This window comes from Homo sapiens, chromosome 1, assembly GCF_000001405.40.
Source record: "Homo sapiens chromosome 1, GRCh38.p14 Primary Assembly".
Taxonomy (NCBI): domain Eukaryota; kingdom Metazoa; phylum Chordata; class Mammalia; order Primates; family Hominidae; genus Homo; species Homo sapiens.
Genome location: NC_000001.11, coordinates 91,977,896 through 91,992,815, shown reverse-complemented (window position 1 = coordinate 91,992,815; position 14,920 = coordinate 91,977,896). Strand labels below are relative to the sequence as shown.

Here is a 14,920-nt window from a genome sequence, read left to right as displayed (position 1 = left end):
GCCTGTAATCCCAGCACTTTGGGAGGCTGAGGTGAGTGGGTCACCTAAAGTCTGGAGTTCGAGACCAGCTTGGCCAACATGGTGAAACCCCGTTTCTACTAAAAATATAAAAATTAGCTGGGCATGGTGGTGTGTGCCTGTGGTCTCAGCTACTCCGGAGACTGAGGCATGAGAATCGCTTGAACCCGAAAGGCAGAGGTTGAAGTGAGGGAAGATCATGCCACTGCACTCCAGCCTGGGTGATAGAGCGAGACTCTGTCTCAACAACAACAACAAAATATATATATGTATAATTTCACTTACGTGTCCAAAGCCCTGTTATATACTCCAAGCCATCTAATAAATACCCTCAGCTTCCATATTTCTCTGAATATACTTGCTGTGGTTTTTTTTTTTTTTTTTTGCCTCTCTTCATGCTATTACTTATTTTAAAAAGTAAGCCCCTAATCTATATGTAAACCATTTCTTCCCCTGTTCTTTAAAACACATTTTAAGCATTACCTGTGTGACGCCTGTTCTTCCTTCAGGCGGTATGCATTCATTCTTCATTTTCTAAAAATAATTATATAGATTATAGCATTAATCATATTATCTCTTAACCATGTGATTATATTTCTTTTTCACAAATTAGAGCTCTTTTAAGACAGTATTATTTATTATTGTGTTTCCCTAACCTAGTTAGATGTTGTTACATAAATAATTGTATGTTTGGAAGGGGTACAAAGGGAAAAAAATGTATATGAGGATGACAACTTGAGCTAGTAAAAAATCACTTCTGTTCTTTTCTTTTTCTTTTCTTTTTTTTTTTTTTTTTTTTTTTTTTTGAGACAGAGTCTTGCTCTGTCGCCCAGGCTGGAGTGCAGTGGCACAATCTCGGCTCACTGGAAGCTCTGCCTCCCGGGTTCACGCCATCCTCCTGCCTCAGCCTCCCAAGTAGCTGGGATTACAGGCGCATGGCGCCATGCCCGGCTAATTTTTTGTATTTTTAGTAGAGACGGGGTTTCACCGTATTAGCCAGGATGGTCTCGATCTCCTGACTTCATGATCTGCCCGCCTCGGCCTCCCAAAGTGCTGGGATTACAGGCGTGAGCCACCTCGCCTGGCCACTTCTGTTCTTTTCAAAGCACATCAACTACTAGTCAAACATAGATGTGCCAAAATGGATAGCTGGCAATTATAAGCTTTATCTGTAGAAACCTTAACTACCATTCTCCTACCATCTTTTGAGAAATTTCACTTCACTGTACGCATAGTTTTGTACACTCATTCAGGATACCAAGGCCATCCCTCTGTATTCAGACTCTCAGGGATAAGCTGAAGCTTCTAGAATTTGTTCTACTTATCCATTTGGCTTACATAAATGTTATGTCTTATTGAAAAATGAAGCCAAATAGCTTCCCTATTCGGTTTTCTTCAGGAAGAAATCATTGAACATTTAGTTGATAAGCTAAAAACAGTGACAACTTTCTTCGTGTAAATAAAATTGAAAACAATTTTAAAGAAAGCTACTACTATACCCATGAGTTATACATACTTTTAAAATTCAGATACAAATAAAGAATTCACTTACCTTTACATTCTCTTTAGAAGGAGAATCATTTGGTTTTACTTCTGTAAACTTAGGGAACATTTCTGCAAATGTATACACATAAATATTTTAATATTTATTAGCTTAAAAAATACCAAGTTATAATTTTTCCATATTAGAAACACAGTGGGGGCTGGGCACAGTGGCTCATGCCTGTAATCCCAGCACTTTGGGAGGCCGAGGCAGGTGGATCACGAGGTCAGGAGATGGAGACCATCCTGGCTAACACGGTGAAACCCCATCTCTACTAAAAATACAAAAAATTAGCACGGTGTGGTGGCACACGCCTGTAGTCCCAGCTACTCAGGAGGCTGAGGCAGGAGAATTGCTTAAACCTGGGAAGCGGAGGTTGCAGTGAGCCAAGATCACGCCACTGCACTCCAGGCTGGGCAAGAGAGTGAGACTCTGTCTCAAAAAAAGAAAGAAATACAGGGGTGATTTCAAGAAAATCCCTTTATTACAAACATATCAAGAAATCCTTAGAGTCACAGGTTTTCACCCTCCTTGAATCAGCTAAAATTTCTAAAGGGATACCTGCTTTCAAGATTATTTTATTTTCCTATAGTAGAGTAAATGTCCACTCACAAATTTCAATTTACATTATGTTTAGGCCAAAAAGCGCAGTATGTTACATAACAGTAACAAGCTTGAATAATTGACAGTTTAAAAAGGAATATGTTGCAACAGAGATAAGGTTTCAAACAAGCAGCATCCATTATGCTAAAATCACCTTTTACCAAGTAGCCATAAATATAGCCCTAAGAGGCTTAATTTAAAAAATAAAGAATTTACTATAAGAGAAGGGGATGTCATTTATCTGAGAGGATACAGTCTTTTATTAAAAGTAAAGCTATTTTAGTTCTGTGGAAAAGTCTGCTGTGCTTGCTAAACTCTATAATAAAGATTCTATCTGATTAAATACTTCTAAGCTATTTGGCAGCCTCAGCTATACAGCAAGAAATGAGTTTTATAGTATCTCCTCTGCCTTTAGAAATACTGTACAGCTGACACTGGCAGTAGAAGCAGACATAAAAAGAGATCTCTCCAACACGGTTCTAGTGGGTTTCTCTTTCTTTATCCTACAATTGTTTCTGATGCTATCCTCCCCAGTCATAATCCTGGGTCAGTAAGGTAAAGCACCAAACTGGTAGTAACTGCCCTGATCAGTCTCTCCAAGCCAGCTTTCATGACCACCTGAGTGTTATTTGTTTCATGCTCCAGGACACCACGGATGGTCAACACCAAACATTATTCAAACTTAAAACATTCTAATTTTAATAATTACCTTCTGCCTTCTGAAAAGCCATCAGTTTCCACTGGATGTGTTACTGTTCTTTCCTCTCCTAAAATGTTTGATGCTGGACATTGTTAAAATTGCTAAATGCCACTCAATGACATCCTTTAATTTAAATAATTCAAGTATTTAAAATGACATGAACCTTCTTAATGTCACTCAGCTAAGTATTATTTAAGTGTTGTGGGCTAGGCATAGGAGGAAGAGAAGGAGACAGACTGAGAAGATTGAGAATATACATCCAGGTAGCTTTCGCATTTAAAGGACATATTAGGCAGGGCATGGTGGCTCATGCCTGTAATCCCAGCACTTTGGGAGGCCAAGGTGGTTAGATCACTTGAGGTCAGGAGTTCAAGACCAGCCTGGCCAACAAGTTGAAACCCCATCTCTAGTAAAAATACAAAAATTAGCCAGGTGTGGTGGTGTGCACTTGTAGTCCCAGCTATTTGGGAGGCTGAGGCGGGAGAATAGCTTGAACCCAAAAGGCAGAGGTTGCAGTGAGCCGAGATTGCACCACTGCACTCCAGTCTGGGTGACAGAGCCAGAAGCTGTCTAAAAATAATCATAATCATAAAGGAGAAATTATGGTTTCAGCTTTGAACAAAAAAACAACAAAAACCAAAAAGACTTCATTAATATGATCATATATGTATATCTATACATCTAAATTATTCAAATATGCACCTAAAACTACATTATCCTACAATATAAACTCTTTAGTACAAATATGACATACCAGATTGGTGTTCTACTAAAAAAAAAAAATTCAAGGGCATCACCTTAGTTTTCTAATACATAAAACTAGGCTCAAAATTATTATAAAACTTAGCACCTCAAGGCTGGCACAGTGGCTTACGCCTGTAATCCCAGCACTTTGGGAGGCCGAGGCAGGTGGATCACTTGAGGTCAGGAGTTTGAAGTCCCAAAACCTTAGCACCTCAAAATCTAAAGATATTAGCAAAAGGCATCAAGGAATTTTAATTAAAAAAATAAAAACACCTACTATATATGTCTCATAAAAGTCTCAGCATTTTGCTTCTCATTCTAATCTTACATAATTGACTTTTTAAGAGCATAATAAACTAAAACTACATATATATGCTTATTCATGAGTTCCTGGCCTTTGAAATTAAAAGACAAATGTACATATTTTCACTACCAAACTACAGCCATATTTCAATTAGTGAAGAAGCTCTATCAGTGCTAGCAAACATCAATTAAAATCGATAACAAGGCCGGGCGTGGTAGCTCACACCTGTAATCCCAGCACTTTGGGAAGCCAAGGCAGGCTGATCACCTGAGGTCAGGAGTTTGAGACCAGCCTGGCCAACCTGGTGAAACCCCCCGCCTACCAAAAATACAAAAATTAGCTGGGCGTGGTGGTGCAAACCTGTAATCCCAGCTACTCGGGAGGCTGAGGCACAAGAATCACTTGAACCTGGGAGGCAGAGGTTTCAGTGAACCAAGATGGTGCCACTGCACTCCAGCCTGGATGACAGAGCAAGATGCCGTCTCAAAAAAATAAATAAATAAATAAATAAAAATAAAATCGATAACAATAATGACAACTTACACATTGCCAACTAATTTCTCTAGGGAAGTATGACAGCATGTATACACCTACCTTAAGAGGATCAAAGTGGATAATATATGCACTATTAAACAAATGCATACTGTGGCATATATTCTAATTATAAATGTTCTAATTTCATATCTCCCCCAAAAACTCAATATAAAACTTTGTTAGCAAAGTTTTCATTTTAAACTGACAAAAAAAGTTAACCATAGGCCGGGCACGGTGGCTCACACCTGTGATTCCAGCACTTTGGGAGGCCAAGGTGGGTGGATCACCAGGTCAGGAGTTCCAGACCAGCCTGTCAACATTGTGAAACTTTATCTCTACTAAAAATACAAAAATTAGCCGGGCGTGGTGGCAGGTGCCCGTAATCCCAGCTACTTAGGAGGCTGAGGCAGAAGAATTGCTTGAAGCCGGGAGGCAGAGGTTGCAGTGAGTGGAGAGTGTGCCATTGCACTCCAGCCTGGGTGAAACTGCGAGACTCTGTCTCAACAAAACAAAACAAAAAAAACCCATAGAACTAAAAAAAGATCTGCAATCATAGAGATTTGATTAAAGAGTTTACTTAATACCTATCATCAATCAAAGCACTGAGATAGATGTTCCAGAGATACTAAATATTATCAGCAAGCCAATTTGAACTAAAAAACTTGAAAAGTTGAATAGGAACATAATATGATTTAAAAAAACAAAAAACAAAAAACAAAAACAAGGCCGGGCGCAGTGGCTCACGCCTGTAATCCCAGCACTTTGAGAGGCTGAGGCAGGCTGAGGTGGGCAGACCATGAGGTCAGGTGTTCGAGACCAGCCTGGCCAATATGGCGAAACCCCGTCTCTACTAAAAAATATCAAAAAAATTAGCCGGGGATGGTGGTGTGCACCTGTAGCTCCAGCTACACAGGAGGCTGAGGCAGGAGAATTGCTTGAACCCAGGAAGCGTAGGTTGCAGTGAGCCGAGATCGCACCACTGCACTCCAGCCTGGGCAACAGAGTGAGATTCCATCTCAAAAAAACAAAACAAAACAAAAAAACAGAATATGATGCCATATATAGCAGAAATAATTACCAAAGACTTTTAAATTAGAAAAAGAAACCACACTTTCATTACAGAGGACAGATTATAGAAAAGTGATTGATAGGCCAGGCGTGGTGCCTCATGCCTGTAATCCCAGCACTTTGGGAGGCCGAGGCAGGCAGATCGCTTGAAGCCAGGAGTTCAAGACCAGCCTGGCCAACATGGGGAAACCCACTCTCTACTAAAAATACAAAAATTAGCCAGGCTTGGTGGTGCATGTCTGTTGCCCAGCTAATTGGAAGGCCTGAACCTAGGAGGCAGAGTTTGCAGTTAGCTGAGATCGAGCCACTGCCCTCCAGCCTTGGCAACAGTGAGACTCTGTCTCCAAAAAAAAAAAAAAGAATTTATAAAAGTCTAAAATAATTTAATAAACTCTAGTCATGTACCTTTAGCTTTCTAGTTTGAATGGCAAAGATTATTTAGAGGCTTTCCTTGTATACTTCCTGCACTTACTAAATCATCCTCCTCTAAAAAGTTAAAATCTAGGCTTGAACAAAGTTTGTTGGTTTCCAAACCTTGCATGAAAAAAATCATATCCTTGTCATGTCTATAGAAGACCTAGGTGGTAGTACTAAAATTACAAATTTATTTATTCCTGTTTGATGTCACCCATAACTAAGAAAGTTTTTTAAAAAAAGAAACAAATGTTATTTAAAGAACTTATAAATTTCATTCTCTGAACATTACACTAAATCCAATAAAATGCAAAAAGTCCAAAGGATGAAGTGACAAATTCACTTTAAGTCTTAAACAACTAAAGAAAAACAGTGAACTGATGTCATGACCATTTAGTTTCTTTGTGTTTAACTCTGTAAAAATTGAAATTAAGTACACTGAAAAAATTCTATTTCACACTAATCAAGTATCTGAGCTTATATTTAGACAGTTCCTGGAGTTATTTCCTATAAGGTTTTAATTAAAAGTACTCCTATTGATAAGCTGTTCCTTTTGATTTTTTTTTCTCAGTATCATTAGTCACAGGATTAAAGCTATTAGTTATATTGCTCCCTATAAATCACTCAAGGTAACCCCAAGATTGTTGAGCATTAGAAAACTCTCAATAGCTTATGTGTGCATACTAGCACAGCCTAGTCAACATAAGATACATGCATTAGAATTGATTTCATTTTCAAGGCTTGGCTACATCTTTGATCTGACATTTATTGATTTTAGTTATGAAAAATCATTTTAAAAGATTTTATATTTATACCGAAGTTTAATAAATGTTCTTGACTTATCTGCATATGCTGACACCAGTCAAAAAGATAAATAAAACCAAATCACATTAAAATTTGCAATGACATGCTGATTCCAGTCCATAGAGCTCTCATTTTTCAAGGATTTGGGCCGGGCGCGGTGGCTCACGCCTGTAATCCCAGCACTTTGGGAGGCCGAGGCGGGCGGATCACGAGGTCAGGAGATCGAGACCATCCTGGCTAACACGGTGAAACCCCGTCTCTACTAAAAATAGAAAAAATTAGCCGGGCGTGGTGGCGGGCGCCTGTAGTCCCAGCTGCTCGGCAGGCTGAGGCAGGAGAATAACGTGAACCCGGGAGGCGGAGCTTGCAGTAAGCCCAGACGGCGCCACTGCACTCCAGCCTGGGCAAAAGAGCAGACTCCGTCTCAAAAAAAAAAAAAAAAAAAGCAAAACTAATTAAAGCTCTGTCTCTGACACAAACATTATAAAAGACTGACTTGCTTTGAAAAATTGCATATAGCCAAATTGCTATAAGAAAATCCAGGAAGACAGATACTAAATGAAAATTACATTAAGAAAAAATTACTAAAGACCAGGCATGATGGCTCACTCCTGTAATCCCAGCACTTTGGGAGGCCGAGGTGTGCAGATCACCTGAGATCAGGAGTTTGAGACCAGCCTAGCCATCATGATGAAACCCCATTTCTACTAAAAATACAAAAAATTGCCAGGCGCGGTGGCTCATGCCTGTAATCCCAGCTCTTTGGGAGGCCGAGGAGGGCGGATCACCAGGTCAGGAGATCGAGACCATCCTGGCTAACACGGTGAAACCCCGTCTCTACTAAAAATAAAAAATTAGCCGGTGTGGTGGCATGCTCCTGTAGTCCCAGCTACTCGATCGCTTGAACCCGGGAGTCGGAGGTTGCAGTGGGCCAAGATTGTGCCACTGCACCCCAGCCTGGGCGACAGAGTGAGACTCCGTCTCAAAACACAATAAATAAAATAATAATAATAATCAAAGCCTATTATCTTCAATAAATAATCAAAAGCCTATTAATCAGAATTCTGGAATCATGATATCCAACTGCAAGTTTCAGTTCTGGCCAAATCATAATTATTTTTAAAGCAATAAAAATCATATTTATGGGCCAAGCATGGTGGCTCAGACCTGTAATCCCAGCACTTTGGGAGGCCGAGCTGGGCGGATCACTTGAGCTCAGGAGTTCAAGGCCAACCTTGGAAACATGTTGAAACCCTATACATTTTTGTCAAAAAAAGTACAAAAATTAGCCCAGCGTGGTGGCACACACCTGTAGGCCCAGCTACTTGGCAGGCTGAGGCAGGAGGATGGCTTGAGCCCAGGAGGCAGAGGAGTGAGCCGTGATAGTGCCACTGCACTGTAGCCTGGGCGACAGAGCCAGACCCTGTCTCAAAAAAAATTTTTTTTAATTATTTTTTCATATTTATATTTTATTTTTCATATTCATATTTTCAGTCAATTTTTACTGATGTAGCAGATAAAGCTTTTGCTGATGTGCCTAATTTTCATAAATTAAATTTTCTTAGTAAATAGCCTCATTCTGCCCATGCTTGAAACTTTGACATAGAATTTGCCATCTGTTCCTTGAGAATGTTACTAGTATAATTAAGAATAGTAGGTGCTTTATTTTTATAGTAGATATTGCTAATGATATGATTTGACTTGCTTATTTTTCACAATTTTCAGGGCTTTTTTTTGTGTGTGTTGTTGTTCCCAGGGAAGTAAAAAATGTTCTTAGTTTACATGCTAGAAATTAAGAGCCTTTAAAATAACAGCTGCAACTGAAATTGATATTTAGAACATTAGAATATGTGGAGAAAGGCAAAAAAAAATTAGGACAAAAGGTCCAATTACTTCATTTAGTATTAAGCAAAGATATAATTTTTTCCCATTTGTCTTTGCATTTGCAATTTATAACATATATAAAGTGTTTTTCCAGTAAAGCACAGTTTGTTCATAAAACAATTAAAATTTCAAAAATAAACAACTAACATTATCAGAAGACAAATTGACCTTGTGTCACAAATTGTACACTATTTATAATGTAGGTTCAAATATAAAAACTTGCCACTTCAGGCTGGGCACAGTGGCTCACGCCACTTTGGGAGGCCAAGGAGGGAGAATTACTTGAGGTCAGGAGTTCAAGACCAGCCTGGACAACATGGTGAAACCCCATCTCTACTAAAAATACAAAAATGAGCTGGGTGTGGTGGCATCCACTTGTAATCCCAGCTACTTGGGAGACTGCGGTAGGAGGATCACTTGAACCCAGGAGGCGGAGGAGGCCACAATCACATCACTGCACTCCAGCCTGGGCGACAGAGTGAGAATCCGTCTCAAAAAAAAAAAACCAAAAAAACAAAAACTTGCTACTTTGATTTCAACATTATATATTTTAAAACTCCTTTTAATTGAAAAAGATGACATTAAACAAAAATGTCAGCCATAAAATAAAAATTCAACACAGCAATGTTTTAAGATTTGAATTCTAGGCCAGGCGTGGTGGCTAATGCCTGGCATCCCAGCACTTTGGGAGGCCGAGGTGGGTGGATCACAAGGTCAGGAGATCGAGACCATCCTGGCTAACACGGTGAAACCCCGTCTCTACTAAAAATACAAAAAATTAGCTGGGCGTGCCTGTAGTCCCAGCTACTTGGGAGGCTGAGGCAGGAGAACGGCGTGAACCCAGGAGGTGGAGCTTGCAGTGAGCTAAGATAGCGCCACTGCACTCCAGCCTGGGCAACAGAGGGAGACTCCGTCTCAAAAAAAAAAAAAAAAAAAGATTTGAATTCTGAGACTGAGTTATTCTGATAGAATGTTAGAAAAACAGAGAGTATATATTGCACTATTTTAAGAACACAAGTTAGTGATAAATATTCTTTCCTCCAAGCAATATATAATAATATTGTATCAGAAACTGATAATTCATATTAAAATTAAGGTACTTTATTGAAAACTCTGTATTATATTGTACTTTTCCTCTAACACTTGAAGCATTTATTATAATTAGATAATTCAAACTAACAGGAACAGTAAGACTTTTATCCTACAAATAAAAGACAAAGTGCTCTAACTTATTAGACCACAAATGCTTTATTAGATGAAGTTACAAATGCTAATTACAATTGAAAATACTAAATGCAACTTAAGTTATTCCAGTATTGTTCTATGCTTAGAAGTCAAATAAGGAAATACTATATAATCAGAGCCCTACATTTTTAAATTTTCTAGTATGACAAATCCCAAAGTAAAAATTCTGTTTATTCTCCAAAAATGTTTATCACTACATACTTTAGAAATGTAAAAACAAAATACAGCAATCAGCACCATATAAATGCAAACTAAACAGAACTAAGAGTTAAATAGAATGTATTGCAAGTCAGCAGACCATACTACCACACTGAAAAAAAGAGGGATGCTTTTAATAATGCTAAGAATTCCTGATGTCACAATATTCTGTGTGAGATGTTTCTTTAAAAAGAGAATTGAATTTCACAAGAAACACCTCATTTAAAATAAAGCAAAATTTAGGGACAACAGTGTCCAAATTCTGAATTTGCCTTTTGGTCAATAAAGATGGAACACCACTGCCAAGTCAGTATTCTTGGGGTAGTGATTACTTATCAACTGTGTAATCATTAATAGAAAAGCACAAAGAAAACATAAATGACCTAAGCTTGATACAACTGCTAAACTATACAAGATAATATGGCACTTGAGCATAGCTGAGAATCTGAATTTAAAGTACATTTTTCTATAGATGGAAGAAAATACTCTACAGTGAAGAAACCAAAGAAGTAGAAAAAAAAATCTGATTCACAGCTTCTGGGATGACTGGTTTAACTCAAAAGGATTATTCAATTCAGAACATAGTATCACAACATGGCAACCTTGCAACATTAGAGTGATCTGATAGATCATGGAGAGTAAAGCGAAAGGTGCTCTCAAATAATCTTTTATTTTATAAAACAAGTAAAGGTCATTATTTTATTATCTGATATATTTTGATATTAAGATTTGAAATTATTTATTGAGACTATCCCTCCTTGAGTAAACTTTTTTTCAGCATTACACACCTACACGTCATATACATATAATACGAAGTTTCATCTTACACAGTATCTCTTTTAGGGAAAATACTAAGATTGTCAACATGCAATTAAATAATTAGCATGATATACAAACCATGGATTCTGGGTAAGTAACAAATATTTCTTCAAAATATAAATCAATATTACAGGAAAAAAAGTGCTCCCATCAACAGAGGTACATTTAAGGGGACAGCTAACCTGATTCAGAATCACTGCTGTCTGAAGAGCTTAAGTCACTGCTGCTACTTTCAGACTCTGATGAGCTGCTGCTGCTGCTGCTGCTCTCACTCAGTCGGGAAACATTTTCAACAGCTTTGGATGGTTGCGTTTTATCAGCTACAAAACAGAGAAACATATTAAAATGCCAGAAGAATTAAATAGTTGCAGGAACATTTAAAAACTGCCACCTAGGCTGGGCATGGTCGCGCATGCCTGTAATCTCAGCACTTTGAGAGGCCAAGGTGGAGGATCACATGAGGCCAGGAGTTCAAGACCAGCCTGGGCAATATCACAAGACCCTGTCTCTACATACATACATACATACATACAAACAAACAAAAACTGCCACCTACATTTTGTTTGACGTTTTCTAGAATTTAACTGATTATTAACATCCAGTAACCGCTTTTCCAATTCCTGTTTTTTCTGTGAGTGAAGTTCTTCTTTGGACATCATTATTTTCTTAGCTGTGTGATTTAGGAGGGAAGAAAGTGAGTATAACCAAAAACCAACATAAATACCAAACCGATTTCTATTAATATGCAGAAATACATACCAGGAGGTTTTAATGGTCTCTTTCTTAGACATGCCGAAACATATTTTTCTAATTCTCTTAGTGTTGATGCTTTCAGTGTTTCAAAGTCTATCTCTATCTCATCAGGATTGGAATTGCTCAGAGAAGGCTCTCTTGATTGTATTATGTGAACTACTCGCCCAAGTTTATCTCCAGGGAGTTTGTTTATATTCAGACTTAACTGCCTTTTCTCATCATAGTTCATAGGTTTAGCATTATCTTCATCTTCAGATTTTAGACCAATGAACTGTTGTTTCCTTTTCTTTGGCTGACTGTAACAAAAACTAAATTTAGTCCAACTTATCGTTATTGTCTTAATAAGCTATCATAATAAAAGATACTTACTTTCTCTTGGACTTTTCCTTTAGCCTCATTTGCTCACACATTTTTCTTGGATTTTCATTGCTGTTATTAACCTTTTCTTTTTTCTTTTCCTTTTTAGACTTCTCTTTCTTTTTATTTAGCTTACGGAAAGGTACTTGGGACAAAACCTGGAGCTGTTGATGTACAGCTTTAAGCTGATAAAAGAAAAAAAATCTGTAAACATTCATGTCTCTAAATAATTAAAGAAACTAGAAAAAAATCAAGCCACTCCAAAGTCAAGAATGTCTTTTGTGAAATTCATTTCTTATTACATTTCCTTCAAGTTTTTATTTAATTTCACAAATGCATTGAATTTTTAAAAGGCATATATTAAATTACAAAAACTATCATGTGCTGAACCCATAAACTTAAATATTCAACTACCAACAGATCAAGAATAAATAACATTTCCAGGTGGTCTTAAGTTTTTTGTTTTTTGAGCCAGGGTCTTGCTCTGTCACCCAGGTGGGAGTGCGGTGGTGTGATCCTGGCTCACTGCAGCCTCAACCTCCTAAGCTCAAGTGATCCTCCTGCCTCGTTTTTTTGATTTTTTTGTAGAGACATGGTCTCACTATGTTGCCCAAGCTGGTCTCAAACTCCTGAGCTCAAGCAATCCTCCCACCTTGGACTCCCAAAGTGTTGGGGTTACAGGCGTGAGCCACGGTGCCTGGTTGGTCTTAAGTTTTTAATCATTGATTTTTCAGACTTGAGCTCCAGAACAGTTTAACATTTTATCATAAAAAGCAGTTAATGTTGAATAAGACCTCATCCATAAAATATCTCTATTTCATAAATCATTTCAATGAGAATCAACCACTCATGATTAGGAATAGATAACATAATTTTTTAAAATAACAGATTTTTATGATAATAAATATTTGATTAGGAAAAACTATTAAACATTACAAATTTGCCAATAAGTAAATAAAGCCACAGTTATGAAGCGATTTAACTATAACAGCTTTAAATCTGCAGAAAAAATTTCCTGATAGATTAGCAGCTCATAGATTATCAAAATTTGTATCAATACAATCAACTACCTGCTCCTGAAGCTTTGCAAGACGCTTAACTCGCTCATCTTCAGAATCATCAGAAGAGTTCCCTTCAGAGGAGGCTTCATTAGTGTTCTCTCTACCAGTGGTTTCTGTGATATCTGTTTTGATGTAACATAAAGGCATACTCTCAACAGGTTCAATCGGGATCTTTGAAAAATGCGTTTCGAAAACATCCTGTAATGAAAAATTAGTTTGTTATGGTTTTCTGTATTTTTTATTTAATCCAGCAATCACAGCTTTTAACAAAAAGTACATTTCAGTGTCATATTTTGACCAGAATTCTTTTTTCCTTTAAGATATATCAGAAGAAACGTATTAAGACTCATGCTGGCCAGGCGCCATGGATCATGCCTGTAATCTTAGCACTTAGGGAGGCCGAGGCGGGTGGATCACCGGAGATGGGGGAGATCAAGACCAGCCTGACCAACATGGAGAAACCCCGTCTCTGCTAAAAATACAAAATTAGTCCCGTGTGGTGGCGCATGCCTGTAATCCCAGCTACTTCGGTGGCTGAGGCAGGAGAATCGCTTGAACCCGGGAGGCGGAGGTTGCAGTGAGCCAAGATTGCGCCACTACACTCCAGCCTGGGCAACAAGAACGAAACTCCATCTCAAAAAAAAAAAAAAGACTCATGCTTCTCTGCCTGCCAAACTTACCAACTTTTCTCCATTTTTTTCAGGCAAGATAGACCTCTCAAGTAATATAGGGTTTTTTTTGTTGTTGTTGTTGTTTTTTTTTTTTTTTTGAGACGTAGTCTCGCTCTGTCGCCCAGGCTGGAGTGCAGTGGCGCAATTTCGGCTCACTGCAAGCTCTGCCTCCCGGGTTCACGCCATTCTCCTGTCTCAGCGCCCCCAGCAGCTGGGACTACAGGCGCCACCATGCCTGGCTAATTTTTTTGTATTTTTTAGTAGAGACGGGGTTTCATCATGTTAGCCAGGATGGTCTCCATCTCCTAACCTAGTGATCCACCCGCCTCGGCCTCCCAAAGTGCTGGGATTACAGGCGTGAGCCACCGCGCCGGGCCAGCACAGGGGATCTTCTTTCAAGGGCCCTGTAGTTGGTAGATCATTCTATTACCTGCAGCCATTTAGACTGTCCCCTCAGTGGGACATGGGCTCTAGTCAACCCTATATATCATCTATCTACATCCCCTCTTCACTAATATTTCCCCAGTTTCCTTTGTATGCAGGGCAGCTTCATAAAAAGATTCGCTACTAAAGGATGCAAGAACTCAAAAAAACAAAACGAAACAAAACACACAACCCTCTCAGTTTTAAAAGTATAATTCATAAACTGTTTTGTTGGTGCAAAAGTAATTGTGGTTTTTGCCATTTAATACTTAGAGGTGTAGGAGTTATTATTCTTTATCTCTTACATTATGGTTCTAAAAAACGTTTCAACTATGTTCAGAGGAAAAACACCTTCAGAGCACAAGTAACAGCTCACCTGAAGCATTCTTGCCATTGTCACAACTTCGTGATCTGGAGGATTGTACTTGTAGCAATTCATGAACATTAATCTAACATCTGCCGCAAATTTGTATGCATCCTTATATTCTTGGTTATCCATTTTCTCCTAAATTAAAGAAAAACTACAGGATTCACAAATAGTTCAATTCAATAATTATTTGACCACGTACATTAAATGTTCATATTACAAAATAATTCAAATATACAGAAAACAGTTGTCCACCATCCAGATTTGACAAATGTTAAAATTTTGCTACATTTGTTTCATATTTTTTAGACTTTGAAAAAAAATCCAGTGAATTTTGACAAGTAGAGATGAGGAAGGAGGACATTCCATGTAAAGAGAACTGGAACAAAATCACAAAAGCAGAGAAGCAG

At 38.2% G+C, this 14,920-nt stretch overlaps 1 protein-coding gene across 16 annotated transcripts in view; it reads right to left on the bottom strand.

Moving 5' to 3' along the window:
• BRDT (bromodomain testis associated) overlaps positions 1-14,920 on the bottom strand; it is a 65,058-nt gene that overhangs the window by 21,613 nt on the left and 28,525 nt on the right. For all 16 annotated transcript variants that reach the window (NM_001242810.2, NM_001242805.2, NM_001242806.2 and 13 more), the window contains 8 exons: positions 14,520-14,648; positions 13,059-13,247; positions 12,001-12,173; positions 11,638-11,927; positions 11,435-11,548; positions 11,061-11,198; positions 1,571-1,632; positions 502-552 (listed from right to left, as the gene is read on the bottom strand). In NM_001242810.2, coding sequence (NP_001229739.2) covers positions 502-552; positions 1,571-1,632; positions 11,061-11,198; positions 11,435-11,548; positions 11,638-11,927; positions 12,001-12,173; positions 13,059-13,247; positions 14,520-14,648 — 1,146 coding nt within the window. The remainder of the gene's footprint in view (positions 1-501; positions 553-1,570; positions 1,633-11,060; positions 11,199-11,434; positions 11,549-11,637; positions 11,928-12,000; positions 12,174-13,058; positions 13,248-14,519; positions 14,649-14,920) is intronic.